This window comes from Homo sapiens, chromosome 21 (assembly GCF_000001405.40).
Source record: "Homo sapiens chromosome 21, GRCh38.p14 Primary Assembly".
NCBI classification, from domain to species: Eukaryota; Metazoa; Chordata; class Mammalia; order Primates; family Hominidae; genus Homo; species Homo sapiens.
The window spans coordinates 42,282,889-42,305,009 of NC_000021.9; the positions used below are offsets into that span (position 1 = coordinate 42,282,889).

General features: G+C 52.0%; 1 protein-coding gene across 12 annotated transcripts in view, besides 2 other annotated features; it reads left to right on the top strand.

Moving 5' to 3' along the window:
- ABCG1 (ATP binding cassette subfamily G member 1) overlaps positions 1-14,356 on the top strand; it is a 97,556-nt gene extending 83,200 nt beyond the window's left edge. For 5 of the 12 annotated variants that reach the window (NM_207627.2, NM_207628.1, NM_207629.2 and 2 more), the window contains 9 exons: positions 1,672-1,795; positions 2,992-3,106; positions 5,001-5,149; positions 5,323-5,424; positions 7,162-7,330; positions 8,204-8,304; positions 8,610-8,768; positions 11,654-11,772; positions 13,276-14,356. In NM_207627.2, coding sequence (NP_997510.1) covers positions 1,672-1,795; positions 2,992-3,106; positions 5,001-5,149; positions 5,323-5,424; positions 7,162-7,330; positions 8,204-8,304; positions 8,610-8,768; positions 11,654-11,772; positions 13,276-13,504 — 1,267 coding nt within the window. In that variant the 3' untranslated portion in view covers positions 13,505-14,356. Of the gene's footprint in view, positions 1-1,671; positions 1,796-2,991; positions 3,107-5,000; positions 5,186-5,322; positions 5,425-7,161; positions 7,331-8,203; positions 8,305-8,609; positions 8,791-11,653; positions 11,773-13,275 lie in introns of all 12 variants that reach the window. The other 7 variants (NM_004915.4, XM_011529806.2, XM_024452141.2 and 4 more) reach the window with 3 other exon arrangements.
- Positions 3,352-3,401: an enhancer, noted in NCBI's record as "active region_18510". NCBI's record gives its function as "activates an Ori minimal core promoter by ATAC-STARR-seq in GM12878 lymphoblastoid cells {active_cell/tissue: GM12878}" and the evidence as "EXISTENCE:reporter gene assay evidence [ECO:0000049][PMID:35858748]".
- Positions 3,732-3,781: a silencer, noted in NCBI's record as "silent region_13341". NCBI's record gives its function as "represses an Ori minimal core promoter by ATAC-STARR-seq in GM12878 lymphoblastoid cells {active_cell/tissue: GM12878}" and the evidence as "EXISTENCE:reporter gene assay evidence [ECO:0000049][PMID:35858748]".
- Positions 14,357-22,121: the final 7,765 nt, after the last annotated feature.

The following is a 22,121-nucleotide window of genomic DNA, read 5'->3' on the forward strand; positions in this document are numbered from 1 at the left end:
CAGGACAGGATCCTGCCTCAGTTGCTCACCAGCTCTCTATACCCACGGGCGCTCTGACCCCTTTCCTGGGTGATGCCCTTTATGTTTGGGGCTCCCTGCGGAATCACTACCCTGGAGTCCTGGATCTGGTGCCCCCAGCCGCAGGTTGAGCTCGCCTGACTCCTGCATGTGTCCTGTCCAGTTGTCCCAGGCAGGATGGGTGGCCAGGAACCAGGCTTCTCCTGAAATGACTTCAGCCAGACTTTACGTTGTCTCATTTCTGCCACTCACTCACCTCTCCAAAGTCCAGCGAGATTTGACAGTAGTGTGACAGCAGCCTTCTGAGGGGGGGATGGCGGGGCTCACTTGTTTCCTTCTCTTGGGCCTGCACAGTAACAGCCCACAGTGTCTATAAGATACTTCAGGAAAAGAGACCACAATGAACCCTTGAATAGCATCTTGCAGGCTGAATGCCCTGAGATGGGTGGGCTCCGGGGGACTGCCCAACACACACTGTCCCCCGGGCCTGTCACTTCAGAGTTGAGGGGATGAGAGCAGGAGTAGATCTGAGGGGCTAGGAAAGGAGAAGAGAGGTCCCCCCAGGACCCTGCTGGACAGTGAAACACCTGCTGGAGTAAAGCCCACCTGGGCTGCAGCAAGGCCACCTTCTATGGGGTGATGCCCCCATCGCCAGCCCCATAGATGGGAGGTGGGGAGTGGGGGTGGTGACTGCGGGGCACTAGACCACCTGAGGCACAGCTGCCTGCCTGGACAGTTGTGAAGTCCCCCCCCACCCAAATGAGTGGGGAACCCCCACCTCTTTCCCACCTGGACAGTTGTGAAGTACCACCCACCACCCAGATGAGTGGGGACCCCCCACCTCTGTCCTGCCTGGACAGTTGTGAAGTACCCCCCAACCCAGATGAGTGGGGACCCCCCCACCTCTGTCCCGCCTGGACAGTTGCAAAGTCCCCCCGCCCAGATGAGTGGGGACCCCCCCACCTCTGTCCCGCCTGGACAGTTGCAAAGTCCCCCCGCCCAGATGAGTGGGGACCCCCCCACCTCTGTCCCGCCTGGACAGTTGCGAAGTCCCCCCCGCCCAGATGAGTGGGGACCCCCCCACCTCTGTCCCGCCTGGACAGTTGCGAAGTCCCCCCCGCCCAGATGAGTGGGGACCCCCCCACCTCTGTCCCGCCTGGACAGTTGCAAAGTCCCCCCGCCCAGATGAGTGGGGACCCCCCCACCTCTGTCCCGCCTGGACAGTTGCGAAGTCCCCCCCGCCCAGATGAGTGGGGACCCCCCCACCTCTGTCCCGCCTGGACAGTTGCAAAGTCCCCCCGCCCAGATGAGTGGGGACCCCCCCACCTCTGTCCCGCCTGGATAGTTGTGAAGTCCCTCCCTGCCCAGATGAGTGGGGACCCCCCCCCAGTCCTGGACTCTGGCAGCAAGGCTCGCTGGGGTCCCTCCGTTCTTACCAGGAATAAAATGCAACATGCAAAGCCCTGCTGTGTGCCCTGCCACTGAGCAGCAAAACAAACAGCAAGAGCAGAGCCCGGCCTGGGACGGGGCAGCTGCAGCTGCAGCCCCTGATGCCAAGCCCTCTGGGACAGGAACTCCCTGGACCCCCGGAACCTGGGGCAGTGGCTAGTTCCTGCCGCCCGCAGGCGTCTCACGGTGCCTCTTGACTTGCAGCGGCCTGGACAGCGCCTCCTGCTTCCAGGTGGTCTCGCTGATGAAAGGGCTCGCTCAAGGGGGTCGCTCCATCATTTGCACCATCCACCAGCCCAGCGCCAAACTCTTCGAGCTGTTCGACCAGGTACGCGGGCCCCGGGCCCTCCCCGCCAGATTACCACTGCACTCAGGTCAGCCTGAATGACACCAAACCCTGGGTACCCACTGCCTTCTGTTAGCTCGTGGGGCGTCTTCATGACACCAAACCCTGGGTACCCACAGCCTTCTGTTAGCTCATGGGGCATCTTCATGACACCAAACCCTGGGTACCCACAGCCTTCTGTTACCTCGTGGGATGTCTTCATGACATCAAACCCTGGGTACCCATGGCCTTCTGTTAGCTCGTGGGGTGTCTTCATTTTTGAGAGCGTTTAAGTGCCAGGTTTTGTGAGACTTGTGGAACCACAGGCAGCGAAGGGGGCTGGGGAGTGGAAGCTGGTGAGCAGAGTCCTCTCTCTGTCCTGGTGGTCGGTCATGGGATCCTGGGTGTCACCAGCATTGTAGAACTTCATCACCTCCCCTGTTAAAATGGGGGGAGGGGGGACACTTGTTTTCCAGAATTAATAACAGGTTACAGCATTTGCACAGTATCATTTGGTTTATAAATCTTAGGTTTTGGCCAGGCACAGTGGCTGTCCCCTGTAATCCCAGCACTTTGGGAGGCTGAGGTGGGCAGATCACTTAAGCTCAGGAGTTGAAGAACAACCTGAGCAACATGGTAAAACCCTGTCTCTACAAAAGAAAAAAAAATACAAAAATTATCCCGGTGTGGTGGCACACTCCTATAGTCCCAGCTACTGGGGAGGCTGATGTGGGAGGATCACCTGAGCCCAGGAGGTGGAGGCTGCACTGAGCCAAGATCGTGCCACTGCACTCCAGCCTGGGCAACAGAGCAAGACCCTGTATCAAAAAAAAAAAAAGATGAACAAACAAAAAAACTTAGGTTTTGATATTAGTCTAAGCAAAAATAGTCACAAAGGGATAAAATGTGTATAGCTCCAAAATTTTTTCTGAGCAGGGGGTTAGCATGAAAAATAAACAGCAAGCAATATAGTCAAATCATCCTGGCCGTGCGATATTCTTCCCTGGCTTATCGTGGCTTTCCCTTCAGATGTTAATAGGGCCCTTGGGGGTGATGTAAAGCTCTCAGGAGAGGAAGTGGCTGATCGCTGGGCTGACTGATTGATCGGTTGATTGATTGGTTGATTGATTGATTGAGGGCTCCGGTTGCCTTCCGAGGAAGGCAGGGCTTGATCCCTTTTTCTCCTTCCTTTTTTCCAGCTTTACGTCCTGAGTCAAGGACAATGTGTGTACCGGGGAAAAGTCTGCAATCTTGTGCCATATTTGAGGGATTTGGGTCTGAACTGCCCAACCTACCACAACCCAGCAGATTTTGGTAAGCGGAGTCCTGAGCAGCTCGGGGGACAGAAAGGGGATTTTCCTCCTCTGTGGGTCTCACTTTTAGCTGACGCCCCCAACTCAGAAACCACTTGACTACCACAAATAGCTCAAGTGTCATCCAGTTATAAAACGTTTAAAGAACAAAAAAATTAGGTTTCATTTCCTCTAGACTCTAGGTAAAATCATCTGGCCAGCCTGTCTCTGCCTCTCTCCTGTCTCCATGTCCTAATCACCTCCTCTCCTGAGGACAGCAGTCATTGGATTCAGGGCCCACCCTAAGTCCAGGATGATTCATCTCAAGATCCTAATTACCTCTGCAAAGATGCTTTTTCAAATAAGGGTGCATAGTGACAGTCCAGGTGGACTTCCCTCCTCCTTCGCCTTCCAGCCATCAGTCTTAATCTGTCGTTTTTCTTTAAAATATTTGATTCATGCAATTCCCAGGACTCCGTATTTTCTACCACACTATTTCCCAAATTGTGTTCCATGAGACATTGTTCACGGACGTGCCTCTCACTCACAAGGAGTAGGCTGTGATGGAGAGGAGACAGGGCGAGGGTTGCAGGGAGTGTGGTTTAAGGTGGGACGGGAGCCCCAGGAGGGTTGTGGTTCTGGTTTCGTGCTCGCTCACAAGGAAGAGTAACAGATCAGTAACGGGTCACTAACGGATGCTGCTGAGTGGGGCAGGGGAGGTGAGGTCTGAAGCCTGCATGGAGGTGAGAACCTGGAGGGAAGGGCGGGCAGGAAGGAGAGGAAACACGGTGCGTGGGGATGCAGAGAGGTCCTGGAGAGATGAGGGCATTCCCTTCTGGGGATTTCATTTCCTCAATGTCGTCTGACCAGAGAGCGGGAGGTGAGGGGAGTGTGGCCCACTGTTGAGGGTGTGGGTGACCAGAGGGGCCTGGAAACATTGCCTGGCAGTGCTGTAGGCTCGTTTGGAGCCCTTGAGGATGACTTTCCGGTGGGGCCAATGTGTCCTGGTTTGTGGCTTCATCTAGGAGGTGTGGTGGCCTCCGTACCAGCTGGGAGGAAGCGGGTAGCTGGCTCTGCCAGAGGGAAGTGCGGAAAAGGTAAGGGTGTTGGGGAGCTTTGGGCCTTAGCAAGAACGTTACTGGAGTGGGAGGCAAGGCATCGCACAGGGAGGACACAGAGGCAGGAGAGGGCAGAGGGGTTGGGAGAAAGCAGATGTAGGCAGAGGGAAGGAGGCCAGTCACCACGGGAGTGTGGAAGGAGTTGCAGGCTGCAGAGGAAGTCCAGGTGGAGGGAGACCTTAGGGGAGCGAGTCTGCAGGTGGAGTGGGGAGGTGACGATTGGGATGCGAGAGGCAGGAGCAGCGGGCAGGGCCGGTGCAGGAGACGCTCACTGGGATCTGAGAGGTGCAGGTTGAGGGTCCCAGGACCTCCAAGTCCCCAGGGTGCCAGCCACTCATGTGGCGATGGGCACGTCCTTCTCTGCCATCTTGTAGAACTGCCGTGGCTCTCGTCACACCCTGCCAAACCACAAGCTCCTCAAGGAGGAGTCCCTCAGGGAGGAGTCCTTCGTTCTGCTCCCTTCCCAGCTCCACCTTGGAGGCTGGCCCAGAGCAGGCATTCAGTAAGTACCGGCTGGATGAGCAGTCGGTAGATGCAGGAGCTCATTACTTCTCAGACCACTGACAGCACAGTGTGTGTTTGCGTTTCCCGTCTCCTGACATGATAAAGGGCCTTGCTGGGGGGTTTGAGAGCCGCACGCTGGTTGATAAATGATTTTGACGTCATGCCATTAGCACCGCCACGCAGCATCTATGTAATCGCTTTAAAACATTCCCACTTGAATAACGACTTTCGCATTTGGGTGGTTGGGGTGTCCTTCCTGGAGCCCGGGCTGACCCCCGTCTGTGTCTCCTGCAGTCATGGAGGTTGCATCCGGCGAGTACGGTGATCAGAACAGTCGGCTGGTGAGAGCGGTTCGGGAGGGCATGTGTGACTCAGACCACAAGAGAGACCTCGGGGGTGATGCCGAGGTGAACCCTTTTCTTTGGCACCGGCCCTCTGAAGAGGTAAAGCAGACAAAACGATTAAAGGGGTTGAGAAAGGTAATGCAAATCCCGAAGCCCCCTGGGGGAGGCTGCACGTGGCACCGTGCACTGCTGCATGAGAGCTCTTTCCGAGCAAGAAGGAGCCGTGGCTCCGGACTGGCTTTCACCCGCTCCCCTCTTGCGTGTGTCCTCAGGACTCCTCGTCCATGGAAGGCTGCCACAGCTTCTCTGCCAGCTGCCTCACGCAGTTCTGCATCCTCTTCAAGAGGACCTTCCTCAGCATCATGAGGGACTCGGTAAGGCTGCCCGCATCTTCTCCTGTAGCTGGGGAACCCGTGGGTCATTTTCTCAGACTCGTCCTGACGGAATGTGTTCGTTCATTCTCACATTGCTATAAAGAAATTCATGAGGCCAGGCATGGTGACTCATGTCTGTAACCCCAGCACTTTGGGAGGCCAAGGCAGGCAGATCATTTGAGGCCAGGAGTTCAGACCAGCCTGGCCAACGTGGGGAAACCCCATCTCTGCTAAAAATACAAAAATTAGCCAGGCCTGGTAGTGCATGCCTGTAATCCCAGCTACTCAGGAGGCTGGGGCAGGAGAACTGCTTGAACCCAGGGGGGCGGAGATTGCAGTGAGCCGAGATTGCACCACTGCACTCCAGCCTGGGTGACAGAGAGAGACTCCCATCTGAAAAAGAAAGAAAGGAAAGAAAGGAAGGGAAAGGGAAAGGGAGAAAGGAAGGGAAGGGAAGGAAAGGAAAGGAAAAAAGAAAGAAAGAAAGAAATGCCTGAGCCTGGGGAATTTATAAAGAAAAGAGGTTTAATTGGCTCATTGTTCTGCAGGCTGTGTAAGAAGCATGGCCGGGGAGCCCTCAGGAAACTTTCAATCATGGTGGAAGGCAAAGTGGGATGGAGCGCTACACACTTTTAAACATTCAGATCTCACAATAACTCACCCATTGTCATGAGCACAGACCCAAAGGAGAAGTCCACCCCCATGATCCAATCAGGCCCCATCTCCAACATTGGGGATTACAATTTGACATGAGATTTGGGCGGGGACACAGACCCAAACCATATCACTAAACTTTCAAATTACTTTTCTTCTATTTGCAATAGTCAGCGTTCACTGTAATGCTGCAGTAACAAACACTCCCATAATGTACGTGTCTCCCTCCATCAATATTTGTGTCCTGCTTGTGTTAGGGGTGGCAACGGTGGGTTGTATCATGGCTCTGTCCCATAAGTCTTCTCATCCCGGGACAGCTCCTATCTGGACATGCCTTTCTTCACCATGTCAAAGGAAAAGTGCAAGAGAGAAACCAAATGACAGCCCTTAAAACTTCCAGTTGGAAGTGGCAAATCATCACTTGCACTCACATGCCATTGGCCTAAACAAGTCACATGGCCGAGCCTGAAACCAGGGCTGTAGGCGAGTCCATTTCTCCTTCAGGAAAGCACTGTGAATCATGAGGATTGGGACGGGGGGTTGGACAATTCCTTATAGGGAAGGAGGTGGTGAATACGCGGGAACCATAATTCTACCAGAGAAGTTGACAATCTGGCCACCTACTTAGGAGCGGCTGAATGCCTGGCATGGCTTCTGGGACCTAATTTGAAAGACAGAGGGGCTCACCGCCGTCCACAGCAGAGTTCTTAGAGCCTCTGATATAGCCACTTTTCCCTCACCATTGTTTTTACCTTTCCTCTCTTCTGAGGGTAGACTTCCTTTGTTCTCCATTTTTAAATCTTTTACAAAGGATAGTAATTATGTTGGTTTTAACACAACAAAAGCCTGACATGTGTGCATATATGTGTGTGAGCAGGCGTGTATGTGTGTGTGTGAGTGTGTGTGTGTATGTGAGTCGCTTTAGGGTTTGGCTTGTTTCTCTGGAGGAGAAGACAGGATAAAGTCTAAGACGTGCTGTCACAGAGTTCAGGGTCCCATGCTTCCAAAGGCCGCATCCGGGTTGTTCTCTGAGCCGAGGACGGCTTTGCGAACGCACTGGGTAAGATGCGGGTCTGTCCCCAGGTCCTGACACACCTGCGCATCACCTCGCACATTGGGATCGGCCTCCTCATTGGCCTGCTGTACTTGGGGATCGGGAACGAAGCCAAGAAGGTCTTGAGCAACTCCGGCTTCCTCTTCTTCTCCATGCTGTTCCTCATGTTCGCGGCCCTCATGCCTACTGTTCTGACATGTGAGTGACAGACCGCTGACCCCTTCTTCCTTATTTTCAATTCCTACCCAAGCATGGGGGCCTGAAGTCACGCCTTGACCAACAGATGAGTTTTCTAAACACAATGTTTTTGTTTTTTTAAAATATCATCTTCTTTGTTGACAGATGCAAGTTGTATTGTATTTGCTGTTAGATAAGAAAATACAATACTTAAGCCAAAGGAATGAATCCCAAATGGAAGACTTTTAAGCATGATGGAAGGCTGATGGGAGGGAGATTTCTCAAAGATTCACTAATTAGGAGCCCCCCAACTCTACTACTTAAGCATTACCTAGTTCAATTGTTAAGATAGCTCTGCACAGCCCACTTCGGGAGCAGATAAGCTCTCTTAGATGGATATCCACACAATTCCAGTTTGTTCACAAGGAGACTGCCCTTGGTCACTTTGGCTGACAGTGAACACAGCGGCTGCTTCTCCAGAACTTTAGCATAAATAGCTCCTCCCTAGGTACCTCCTCCCCAAGCTTCCCCTGATTTCCAAGAGCAGCTTGCAGCCTTGCTCACAGGAAGGCACCACGTTGATGCAGAGTTTCAGAAGAGGCAGACTCAGGAAGAGTAAGGCCAGGCATGAATCCTTGCCTTCATCACTAAGATGATGCTTTGTATTCACAGACATGCTCCCCATCCTGATTCTCCACTCAATGACTCTTCAGGTTATGCAAACGGGTGGCGTTTTTCAGGCTAGCAAAACACATCCTCTGTTTGTTCAATCTCTCAGTGCCCTAGGCCAGAGCTGGGTTACCAGCCGCTCAGCTCAAGATCGCCTGTTGGGATGTTAAACGGGCTCGCTGCACATGGTCACTGACCCTTCTTTTTTGCTTTTCTATCTCCTAGTTCCCCTGGAGATGGGAGTCTTTCTTCGGGAACACCTGAACTACTGGTACAGCCTGAAGGCCTACTACCTGGCCAAGACCATGGCAGACGTGCCCTTTCAGGTGTGTTAGCCAGGGGCTGGAATTTGAAACGGGGGCAAGAGTTCTCCTGTACACCCTTTATATCGAGTAAGAGGACCTGCCAGGGATGCAGGGTGACATGGCCCGACTTCGGGAGCTCTGGTGGGAGCTGCGGGGAAGGGCCTGACTTCGGGAGCTGTGGCGGGAGCTGTGGGGAGTGGGGAAGGACCCGACTTTGGGAGCTCTGGCGGGAGCTGCGGGGAAGGGCTGGCTGCCCAGGAGCTTTGCTGTTGGCCTGCTGTGGTGGGAAGCGGCTGAGCCCGCGGCTGACGGGTCCTTGTTTCCAGATCATGTTCCCAGTGGCCTACTGCAGCATCGTGTACTGGATGACGTCGCAGCCGTCCGACGCCGTGCGCTTTGTGCTGTTTGCCGCGCTGGGCACCATGACCTCCCTGGTGGCACAGTCCCTGGGCCTGCTGATCGGAGCCGCCTCCACGTCCCTGCAGGTGCCAGCCCAGGAGGCGCTAAGTGAGGGCATGACGGCTGGGCTTCCCTGAGCTACCTTGGCCTGAGCTAGGGGGCTCTGCCACCCCTTCCCCTACTTCTGCCCTGACCCTCCTAGATGGGGTCGTTCCCACGGGAAGGGCCCGCATTGTCGAGGGTCAGGATCAGCTGGCTTCCACAGTGCGCACAGCGGGCAGCCTCACGTGTGCTGACTGCGTGCTGGGCGCTCTTCCCAGCGCTTCCCAGATCTGAGCTCCTGTAGCCCCAAGCACAGCCACGCTTAGGTGCTGTGCTGGCCCCATTTTACATAGGGGAGCACTGAGGCCCAGAGAGGCAAAGTGATTTGTCAGGGGGTCACACAGCTGACTCGGGAGCCAAGCTCCCAACACCTATGCATCACTGCCTCTGTGGGGTTCCCTCGGCCTCTCCATGGGCCCCTTCCTCCTCCCATCGCCCACCCTGCCCCCCGACCTGCCGCCCACATGCACCTGCAGGTTCTCTACCTCTGTGGCTTTAGGACGCTCGGCCTCAGCCTGTCCTTCTGGACAAAAGCAGTGTTCCTGGGTGGATTGGGAACACCCGAGGGCCCCAGGGTCCCATGCTGGGTGCAGTGTATTCCTGAGTCACCTCCAGTCCACCATAAGCAAGCTCCCTGGCCTCCAGGGCCCAGGTGCCCTCACCTTAGATGAGGACTGCCATGGAGCCCATCTCACAAGGCTGCCATGGGACCAAAGATGACACTGCAGGAAGGTGCCAGGCCCATGCCAGGTGCTGCAACCCGTGTGCCCCAAGGCCAGCCCCAGTGCACCTGCTCAGCCACCCCCAGGACCCCTGCCTAGGGCACTCAGGCTCCGCAGGGGTCACTAATCAGACCAGGGCTGGGATGCCCCTGTCTGCACGGTTGCACACGGCACACATGCACACACACACTACACACAGACCACACTACACACTACACACCACACACTACACACATACCACACTACACACACACCACACTACACACCACACACACTACACACCACACACGGTGCACACCACACACTACACACCACACTACACACTACACACCACACACTGCATACACACCACACTACACACTACACACCACACACACACCACACTACACACCATACACTATACACATACCACACTACACAGTACACACCACACACACTACACACCACACAGTACACACTGCACACCACACTACACACTACCCACCACACACTACACACACACCACACTACACACTACACACCACACATACTACACACCACACACTAAACACATACGACACTACACACTACACACCACACACTACACACACACCACACTACACAGTACACACCACACACTACACACACACCACACTACACACTACACACCACACACACTACACACATACCACACTACACACACACCACACACACTACACACCACACACGGTACACACCACACACTACACACACCACACACTACACACTACACACCACACACGGTACACACCACACACTACACACACACCACACTACACACTACACACCACACACTGCATACACACACTACACACTACACACCACACACACACCACACTACACACCATACACTACACACATACCACACTACACAGTACACACCACACACACTACACACCACACAGTACACACTACACACCACACTACACACTACCCACCACACACTACACACACACCACACTACACACTACACACCACACATACTACACACCACGCACTACACACATACCACACTACACACTACACACCACACACTACACACACACCACACTACACAGTACACACCACACCACACACTACACACACATCACACTACACACTACCCACCACACATACTACACACCACGCACTACACACATACCACACTACACACTACACACCACACACTACACACATACCACACTACACAGTACACACCACACTACACACTACACACCACACACACACCACACACACTACACACCACACACTACACACGCACCACACTACACACTACACACCACACACTACACATACACCACACTACACACTACACACAAATACTACATACACACACCACACAGTACATACCACATACCACACCCTACACACAAACACACACTACACACTACATGCTATGCACACACACCACTCACTGCGCACACAGACTACACACTAGAAACATCACACACTACACACCACACCACACACCACACACTCCACACCACACACCACACACCGCAGACACCACACACACCACACAGCAGACACCGCCCACACCACACACACACTCCACACACACACTCCACACACACACTCCACACACCCTCCTACCCCCGACACACTCACAGTGCCCCTGTTGGACCTGTGCTCACTGTGAACCCTGAGTCGCGGCGGTTGCTTCGGTCTCTGGGCTGCCCTCCCGGAGGTGCTGACAGGCAGGCGTCCATCCCGCCTGTGAAGGCTGCAGTCCTTCCACTGTGCCCCGACCGAAGGGGTGCCCGCCACACACCTGCCACAGGCCAGGCACTTAGCCCCCCCGGGGACAGCTGTGGAGGAGCAGACGGCAGTCTGTTGAGGAGGGTGTGTCCCCACCTCTCTGGCCTGGGGACATCCACTGGGTCCCAGCTCATCCTGGGCTGCAGGAGGCTCTGGGGCTGCCACGTCACAGCAGGGCAGCCGGGGGGTCCTCAGAGATGGTGACCCCACACCTCGGGAACGCTGCACCTTCTGCCACATTAAGCATCATCATTACCCTGCCCAGAAGGTGCCCTGGCCCTGCCCGGGGGAAGCTGGCGTGGGCGAGCCTCCTCTGCAGGAGGCCAGGCTGCAGGTTCTGCTACATCTGTCCTGTGTGCCCCCAACTCCAGGTGGCCACTTTCGTGGGCCCAGTGACAGCCATCCCGGTGCTCCTGTTCTCGGGGTTCTTCGTCAGCTTCGACACCATCCCCACGTACCTACAGTGGATGTCCTACATCTCCTATGTCAGGTAGCGGGCGTGGGGCACGCATGGCGTGGGGACCGAGGGTGACGGGGGAAGAACCGTCTCCAACAGCGTGAGGGGCTCACAAAAGCCACTCTGGGCTGCTGGCCAAGAGCAGATTACACATCTGAGGATCCAGGCCTTCCATCTTCCTGCTAGTTCCACCTCCTCCTACCCTCACCAACACACACACACTAAACAAGGAGGCCACACAAACCAGCGCTTCACACCCGGAGAGCCATGGCAGGACCAAGTGTTCTGGACGTTGCCGAGAGCTGCCTTCGGTGGAAGCGCTTCCATCTTTTAGGAACGTTCTTCCTCCCCGAAGTGCCGAGTGCTCCTAACAAGTGCTGATTGTAAAACCTTTATAAGAAATCTGGTGGGAGTCAGGCGTGGTGGCTCATGTCTGTAATCCCAGCACTTTGGGAGGCTGAGGCAGGCAGATCACTTGAGGTCAGGAGTTTGAGACCAGCCTGGCCAACATGGCGAAACCCCGTCTCCACTAAAAACACAAAACAATTAGGTGGGCTTGGTGGCGCGCGACTGTAATTCTAGCTACTCCGGAGGCTGAGGCGGGAGGGCGGGAAGATCCCTTGAACCTGGGAGGCAGAGGTTGCAGTGAGCTGAGATCGCGCCACTGCACTCCAGCCTAGGTGACAGAGTGAGACTCCGTCTCAATAAAAAAAAAAAAAAAAAAAAAAAAAAAAAAAAAAAAAAAAAAAAGGAAAGAAATCTGGTGGGAAACAAGTCATTTTTAAACATCTTTTTAAACATCCTAATATCTTGGAACAAGAATGCCCAGTGCCTCAGGTCCTTAGCTACAACGTTTCGTGCCCTCTGTGGAGTGCGGTGTTGGCACGCTGGCCCCACCAGGGGCAGCGCCCATCTTCCGAGCTGCAGAAGTTCCATGTGACACTAAGATCCAAAGTTGGGAACAAGCTCTTCTTCTCTAGAATGTCAGTTCAGACTTAGGTATATTGTTCAAGAAAACAAAGCACTTGTACAGAGTTTCGACAATCTGCGTGTGCTCCAACACTATGAAATCAGAAACCGACGTCTTTCTTCTCAAAATGAGTGCTTTTGTTCTGACAGGGCAGGACTGGAGCAGAGGGAGAGAGGGGGCAGGAATGTTTCATATAAATGCTCTCAAGTCCTTGCAAGTTGGCTGGCCCACGATTCCCTCCAACCGTTAGAAAGCATGTAACCTCGGAAGTGAACACAAGACTTCTCAGTGCATTTCACCAGTGAATATGTACCGCTCATTCAACTTGTTTTTTTGCTGGGGGCCCTGGAGGAAACAAAATTGGAAGAAAAACATAGTGGAGCTGTTGCACGTGTTTGTCTTAAGAAGGTGGTGGGCGGTGAGGAAGTATTCTGGGGAAGGCGGCCCTTTGGGAAGGGAGGATAGCCAAGCTGGGAATCGCAGGGAGGGTGAACGACATTGACCTTCAGCCAACGGCGTGGCTGGCTGGGAGAACGTCCTCCCTCATGCCTGGCCTTTCCTCCTAGGTATGGGTTCGAAGGGGTCATCCTCTCCATCTATGGCTTAGACCGGGAAGATCTGCACTGTGACATCGACGAGACGTGCCACTTCCAGAAGTCGGAGGCCATCCTGCGGGAGCTGGACGTGGAAAATGCCAAGCTGTACCTGGACTTCATCGTACTCGGGATTTTCTTCATCTCCCTCCGCCTCATTGCCTATTTTGTCCTCAGGTACAAAATCCGGGCAGAGAGGTAAAACACCTGAATGCCAGGAAACAGGAAGATTAGACACTGTGGCCGAGGGCACGTCTAGAATCGAGGAGGCAAGCCTGTGCCCGACCGACGACACAGAGACTCTTCTGATCCAACCCCTAGAACCGCGTTGGGTTTGTGGGTGTCTCGTGCTCAGCCACTCTGCCCAGCTGGGTTGGATCTTCTCTCCATTCCCCTTTCTAGCTTTAACTAGGAAGATGTAGGCAGATTGGTGGTTTTTTTTTTTTTAACATACAGAATTTTAAATACCACAACTGGGGCAGAATTTAAAGCTGCAACACAGCTGGTGATGAGAGGCTTCCTCAGTCCAGTCGCTCCTTAGCACCAGGCACCGTGGGTCCTGGATGGGGAACTGCAAGCAGCCTCTCAGCTGATGGCTGCACAGTCAGATGTCTGGTGGCAGAGAGTCCGAGCATGGAGCGATTCCATTTTATGACTGTTGTTTTTCACATTTTCATCTTTCTAAGGTGTGTCTCTTTTCCAATGAGAAGTCATTTTTGCAAGCCAAAAGTCGATCAATCGCATTCATTTTAAGAAATTATACCTTTTTAGTACTTGCTGAAGAATGATTCAGGGTAAATCACATACTTTGTTTAGAGAGGCGAGGGGTTTAACCGAGTCACCCAGCTGGTCTCATACATAGACAGCACTTGTGAAGGATTGAATGCAGGTTCCAGGTGGAGGGAAGACGTGGACACCATCTCCACTGAGCCATGCAGACATTTTTAAAAGCTATACAAAAAATTGTGAGAAGACATTGGCCAACTCTTTCAAAGTCTTTCTTTTTCCACGTGCTTCTTATTTTAAGCGAAATATATTGTTTGTTTCTTCCTAACTTTCTGACTACCTTTAATTTTGCCTAGGTTGATTTAAACAAACAAACAAACAGCTTCCCTTTCCTCCTGTATCACCTCAGCTGCCTCCACTGAACCTGGAAGAATGGGGCTTAGGGAAATTCAGGCACGACCTTTGAGGGTTGGCTCAGCAGGAGTGGCCAGCAGTGAAAGATGGGCTAACTGTGCAAGAGGGGAGGAGGCCAACGAGATGGCATCAGAATCCAAGGGCTTAGGACGAAGTCAGTAGACTTCAGCATGTGGAGGCATTTGAAACTTGATCAAACAACGCACTTCGAGTGGTGGGAGATTTCATCTCTGGGTTTTGCGACCTCACAGCTGCATCACCGCCTCAGTGTTAGGCCTGTGTAAACTTTGCACGTTGGAAACCGCTTCTTTCCTATGACTGAATCACATAAGTCAAATCCCGCTAGGGCAGAAACAGGTGCCTATCTGGAGGTCAAGTGGTCTTTGAATTCACAACAAGGCTGCCTGTGAGTTTGTCAGCTCTCAGAAGCAGTTTGACTACATGCAGAGAAGGTGATTCTGGCCAAAGAAGTCCACCTTTAGGAAAATGCCATTGTTTACTCCCTCTAGAATATCATTCTCCTAGAATCAGGGCTTCCGATGGAAAGGCTGTGTTTTTGCGGGAAAATCAGTGAACCTTTCTAAGCTACATTTTTCCTCATCTGTAAATAGTTACAGTACATCATGCCCAAGGCCATGCCAGCTCAAAGGTGGTGGGATTCCTTGGCGATGTCCCTGAAGCTCTTATTTCCCACTTCGAAAGAACGAAAAGGGTCTGAATTTTATTTACACATGGATTTAGTTTGCTAATTCTTAGAGATTCCTTTTTTACTGCTAGATCTTTTTTAGTAAACACAATTGAGATAGATATTAAAGTGTAATTTTAAGTGTGCTTGTTCTATACAAATATGGCATTGCCTTCCAGATTAAGTTTTTAACCAGAGTCAAACTTAGCCTTTATAAAAAGTCCTCATTTAATTTCAAAATAGATCTTCTTGTAAGACATTGCACATAGGGAAGACCTACCTAGGAATAGCCTGGTGAAATGCAGAATTGGAAAAAGGCAAAAGTCCTTGCTCATGACTCAGAACTACATCGAGTGAGGTCAGTGTTGAAAACGCCCATTCCCTCCAGGTGAGCCTTCCCCATTGTGGATTAGTGTTGTGGCTTCATGGCCCTAATAGGGGTGTGTCTGCCAGGAACTGCACTGCATGGGGCCCACAGCCCTGCCTCAGAAGCAGCTTTGGTCTCGTTTGCTGAGACCGCTTGCTGTGCCTCATCAATTTCAGGAGGAAACAGTGAGATGCCTCTAGATTTTAAATCTGGTTTCGGAGAGCACCTAAGCCCTCTGATGGAATGACTCTCGTAGGAACTTGATGGGGGTAATTCTAAGGGGGAAGAGCTTGGGAACCATGAGGGCTGTTAGGCTGCAAGAAGGGAATGGATATGTGAGACCATGTGGGTTTATTTTTTGAAGGGTGAACTGGAGTAGGTGAGGATTCTGCAGTTGACGCCCCAGGATGGCTTTGCTCAGCCCTCCCCCGTAGACTGGAGGAAAGCCTACCGCCAAGGGAGGAGAGGATGCATCTGTCCTAGGTGCAGCCGGCCTCCCTCTTCCAGGTTCAGCAAGGGTCCCTGGCTGGGCATTTTCCTCGTAACCTTTGGCAGCATTGGCTCAAATGCCATTGTTTAGATTCCCAGATATTTCCCCACTGCTTTTTGTGTTAAGGTAGTTTGGTAAAATGCCTTATTCCAATGGCCTAAGATAATATCAAGCAACTCACTGGTTTACTTTTCTAACCAGCTGTGGTTAAGACACACACGGCAATGTGCTATCTTTCACATGTTGGACGTTAAACCCAGACCAACTCCCCAAATCTAATTTGTTTCAGTAATTTCTGAATGCATTGACCAAGATATTCCTTTCATCTCTGGTTGAGTTTCTTCCATTAGAAGGAAGGATTAAACCTTGGATAAAAGATTTGCAGATGCCCCAGTGGTTAGTAGAGGTGAAAATGGAGGTTTCAGGGAAACTGCTGGGGCCTTTTGCCTTTGTCCTCATCCAAAGCATTTTGTGCCTCTCTTTCTTCTCCTCTGGCTGAATATCCACTGGAGATTGAATTCTCCGAAACTCCCTGTGTGGGTGAAGTGGGAAGCTGTGCCCAGGAAGGGGAGTAACTGTGCAAAGTTTTATGCAGTCAGTGCCAGAATTGGATTACATCACCTGGGGGAGGCGCCTTCAGGACCAGGAAATGGTACATGGAGCTTTGAGGTGAAAACTCATCTTAGAAACCCACAAAAAGTCATTCCCCCAGCCTGACATCAGGGACAGACCACACCCATGGGGCAGAAACCGGGCTTGGTTGTTGCAGTGGGAAGAGAAGGCACGACTCTGGTGCACCGAGCACCTTTCCTCGTGGCTGTTTCCAGGCACTGGGCTGGATGTCCTCAGAACCCCCTGTCCCCTGCCCACTCCTCAAACCCTTACTGACCCACCCCTCTCGCCTGGTGCTGTCCCAGGCCCTGGGGGTGAGGGGGAGGGGACTCCAACGTGGGCTTGCCCTCCAGTGTGGTGGGAGGGAACCGCGTGGCCACTTGGCTTAGCCGTGCTCATGGTGCAGACGTGGAACGCGGAGGCAGGGAGAGGCTCCGTGACGTCCCCAGGGCCCCAGAACGAGGAAGGAGCGGAGTTGGGATTCCAGCCCAGTTGGACGCTGAAGTCCCTGTTTTGTTTACTGCCTCCTGTTCATGGCGTATGAATGTATCTGAGATGCTTTGTAAGGCATAAAGTGCAATACTAGCTTAGTGGCTGTTCGTTCAGTGATTCCTTCTGTTACCAAACAGGTGGCTGAGATGAGAGGGCAACCCAAGCCTAACGCCCTTCAGTGGCCTTGCATCAGAGTACTCGTGACAGGTACCTCTCCGTGGAGAGGGGCTGTCCTCTGCCCTTGCCTGCTCCTCCTATTGCAACAGTCCTGTGGACTAGCTCAGGCTCTACAGGGGCTGGTGTGTGTGTGTGCGTGTATGGTGTATATGTGTCTACCTACACACAAGCACATGTGCACACATGCACACACATGCATGCAAGCACACGCACACACACACATGCACACACACTCACATGGACACACACATACACACACATACACACACATACATGCACACACATGCACATGGACACACATACATGCACACACATACATGCAGGTGTGCAGACTTGGCTCCAGGCGTGTGTTTGATAGTATTATTCTATGATATTTCCCTCATCTCCATAGAATACCAGCTTCTGAATCCTCAATCAGCCTTTACTGCAAGAAGAAAAGAAAAACCTCTCTCATTCCAGGTCTGTGGTGCAGATGGGAAGAGTATAGTCAAAACCCATTAAGGCCTTAGTCAAATGCCAGCCGAATTAGAACGCAATGAACGTTAGACAAAACAACCCAACTGGCCAGGCGGGGGAGGCGCAGAGCGTATAAATATAAAGTTAGATACTTATAAAGAATAAAGACTCTAATAAAATATTTTATATAAAACTTTTTACCTGTGTTCAGCGTCAGATGCTTCAAGTGATTGGCTTTGCATTCTCCTAAGTCGATGGATTCTTAGGCTGTGTCTAGAATGCGTTTGTTGTCCCTCTGGGAAGAGCACTGATTTGTCGCTCATGTTCTGGTCCAAGACGTGGCTGTAGATGAGCCCTTTCTCGATGATGTTCATGTATTATGTTGAATTGTCTTAAAGTTTTGTGTTTTCTGTTCTCCCAGAATCCTCACCCATGTCCTCCTGCCTCGTGATGTTGGCCATGACCTCGAAATGTGCCTGGAGGAGGCTCGAGGCAGGGCTAGCAGGAGGGCACTGGGCCACACCTTCCCTTTGGTCCTCTCCACCCTTGCAGGGGCTCCCTCAACCGGGGCTCTGGGGCGGTAGCTCTGGCAGGGCGACGTCGCTTCTTCCTTACTCTGCTTTGCTGGAAACCCATCTCCCAGGCTGAGCTCTGTAGAGGCAGCTGCTAGTGGGGAAGGCAGCCCCTCTAGAGGTTTTGGTCCCAAAGTTGAGGTGAGCAGGGCCTAGCAGTTGCTCAGTGTTATGTGCTGCATTAGCCCATGGTTCCCCGAGCTCCGGCCAGGCAGTGACCCTCAGAGTGAAGACTTTCCGGGACACCAGTGGCTTAGAACTGGGCTTTCAAATCCAGCTTCCCTCCCACCTCTGGGACACAGAGCAGAGAGCCGGGCTGGGTGAGGTCACAGAATCGGCCCGCAGTGGCCCCTGCACTCCTCCTATGGCGGGCAGGCACAATCGAAGGCTGCCCCAGGCGTGCACACAAGCTCGCGATGCACAGTTTTCTTCCCCCCTCGGTAACCCCAGCCTTTCTGGACGGCCCGGCCGCCCTGGGTCCCAGTAATGTTAAAGTCACGGTCCTTTCCAAGCCACTGTACTTGGGCTGTCCCGTCAGGGAGGTTCCTCCAAGATAATTGCCCCCTGCAAAGACAGGGGCTTCTGATGTCCACTTGTGGGGCTGACCTTTTTGGGGAACCTCCCTGGGACCAGAAGCAGGGAAGAAATAAGAGACCCTGCACCCCCATGGCACAGTCTAATTTTCACTTACAAGCTCAATTCAGGCTGTCCTTAAAATCCACGTGTCCTGGGCAGGAAGGAAATGTGGGGACAGGCACACACGCACATCCTTCTGCTATGCTGACCTAAAGTTCCTAATAGCTATCCTACATCCTGCCCGTTTCTTTTTTCCATATTTGAGGAAACAGAAGGGTTTAGCCTTAGCCTAGTTTTTTTATGTTATCTCTGAACAGGCCAACCTGGAATCACCCCTCACACAGACACGTGTGGCCTGCCCCAGTGTGCCTGAGGCCCACCCAGGAACCCTGCTTTGCCTGGGGTTTATGTGAATGACACACATGTGAGCAGAGGCTGGGGTTAGGACCCTGAGGCTTCCCTGTTCTCAGAAATACTCTCCTGGCATCAAAAGGAGAAAACGGTCCATGCCACTGGCTACCACATTCCAGCCTGGCAAGGGTTTACTGTTTATAGAGGCACCGTTTGGGGGCTTTTCCATGTAGAATGGCCGTTGTAAAGCTGAAGAGAAAGGAACAGAAGCACAAAAGCACCTTGATTCTTCGCAAACACAGGCAGGGGCTGCCGGCTGGACGAGGGCGCTGCATTTTGAGGGCGTGCTGGACCCGCTGGCAGAGCCCGCCCTGAGGGTTTTCTCTGCAGCTGTGGGCTAAGCTTGCCCAAGCCCCTCCCCTTTTCCAGAAAGCCACCCCCATGGCCACTTGCCTTTCAGGTCCAGGTTGAGGACACAGCCACGGGCATATATGTATTTGTTTCACTGGGGTTCATGGTTCTGGGGACAGTCTTCTAGCCCCCGAGATCTTGGGAAAGGCATGAGCTCAAGCCACATAACCAAAAAGTAGCAAAACTCAAAATTATTACTTTACTTTCAGCTGTTTTCTCTCAATAGCGCGCCACCATCGTCTGTGTGTCTGCACTGAACAAACATACGAGAGAATCTGGCTGATCACTTTGAGTGCCTTTGGCCTAAACTTTGCACATGACTTTAAACGTGGCCCTGATACTGCACACAGTAAGAAATGTTTTTTATTTTATGGTCCCTGAGGTTACGAGATCAGATCTCTGGAAATGTGTAAGCCACCTGCTGTCACCTCTGACCCATGTGGTCCATTACCATGAGGGCCGGTGAGTGGGGCAGAGATGCTGAGGCCTGGCTGGTGAGCCCCCGAGCAGTGAGGCAGGACCCTCCCTGGTGACCTGTGTGGGGGCCAGTCCTCTAGTCCCCCAGACAAATCTCCCTTTAAGGAGGCTTCTGAAGCTCTGAGTGCCGGCGCTCAGAATTAATTTGACTCTTCACTGCTCACCGCACCTGCCTATGAGCCTCTAGAAAACAGCTTGCCCAATGAGAGTGCTGCAGCTGAGGCAGCAGCAGACATGTCCGTTTCTGGGGAAGTTACTCAAACAATCGTGCCTCTTAGGGGGCCCTAATGTGCCCCTTCTGGCAGGTTGAAATGCATCTGGCCTTGAAGGGGAAGGTTAGGAAATTATGAAGTACGTGGGTTTAGGGTTGACAACCCCATATCCGTGGACTCCTGGAGATCCCTGAACGCCGTCTAATCTGAATGGTACCACAATTTGGTTTGTCTGAAAATATAGTAGTAACCACGGCAGTGATTTCATTTTTACACGTTTGCATTTTTACATGTCTGTCATTATGCATCTTGGGGTCTCTTTTCCATGACCTACCAGCTTCCCAAGCTTAATAATCAGTATCTCACTATTATGTCATTGGCCAACTGAAAACAGTAGCAAAACATCCTATCATCCAAATTGCTAATAAAATAGAACACCACACCCACACGCTGGCTTCCCATTTTTATAGTCTTATCCTCCCACCTGGAGGGTGTGAATGGGGATCAGTTTTTCAATAGAACATGTATGTTTGGTAAGTTAATATGTGTAGCTGACCCCTTTGCCTTTGTTTTTATATATTTATGTTTTTCTATTGTAGACATATTGATGCAATACCTGTTCATAGTTGAATCTGTTACAAATTGTTACCTTTTATTTGATGAAGAACTATTTAAAGATTTTCCTTTTTTATTTCTTCTAAAGCAAAAGTCAATGCAAGTAACTCTAATCAGCGTGCAAAGGCGTGCATATATATCTGCTATGTAATTATATAATGTTTTTATAATGCTGTGTGGATAACTTTTCACTGATTTAGTTACTTGACTGTAGGAAACACTGTTGCTTTGCACGCTGTGAGAGGTTTGCACTGTTACAGATGAAGGCAACATATTTACATATGTACATGTATATACATATATATATATTCAAAAATAACATCGGCTCTTTGGGGTGTCTGTTTCCTTGGTTGTCTCACGCCACTGGAACATTGAACCCAGACAGACCCTAGGATGTGAGGTTCCTGACTGCACCTTACGGACCACAGAGCCACGTGTCTATTTCTGTAGACCTATCTCCTTAGATTTGTACATGCATTTTTTGCGGACTTGAACTTTGTTTTCTGAAATTAGATGCCATTTATGATGATGTGATGTCAATCAAATAAAGCATCATTATTTTCAGATTTCTGCTTCTCTTTCCTTTTGCTTTCAACAGCCCCAGCTCTCAGACCTGCTGGGGGAGTCGCGTCTGGTAGAGCATCTCGTATTTTCTCCCTACCTGCCCTTGCTCTCAATGGAGCACTTCTCTCTTCAGTGTCAGGATGGATTCCAGTGAGGAAGACAAATAAGAGTGATGGTAAGGAAGCCTGTAGCTCCAGACTCCATGGAGCACCATGTGGTGGCACAGTACCCTACCTTTCCATGCGCAATCTCATCAAACCGTCGTCATCAGAGCTGGAGAGCCGCAACTGGCCCCATTTTTCAGGTTAAAAACACCGAGGCTCAGGGATATTACACAACTTGCCAAAGCCACAGAGCTGGTCGGTGGTGCACGCAGAAGTGAGACCCTGGCCATCCAGGCAGGGCTCCTGGCCACTCCATGGCTCTCCCTTCCTCCGGGAGAGGCATTTAGGATTTGAGACCACACAGGAGGAGAATCCACGTTGTGCAGGAAGTGGTGTGGCAGGTCTGACCCTCATGACCAGTGGAAACTTCTCCTCCCAGACACTTGGCTGAGGGGTGAGATGATGTGCCAACATCTCCAGGGATCGGCCTGGAGGTCCTTGTGCTGTCAAGACCCCTT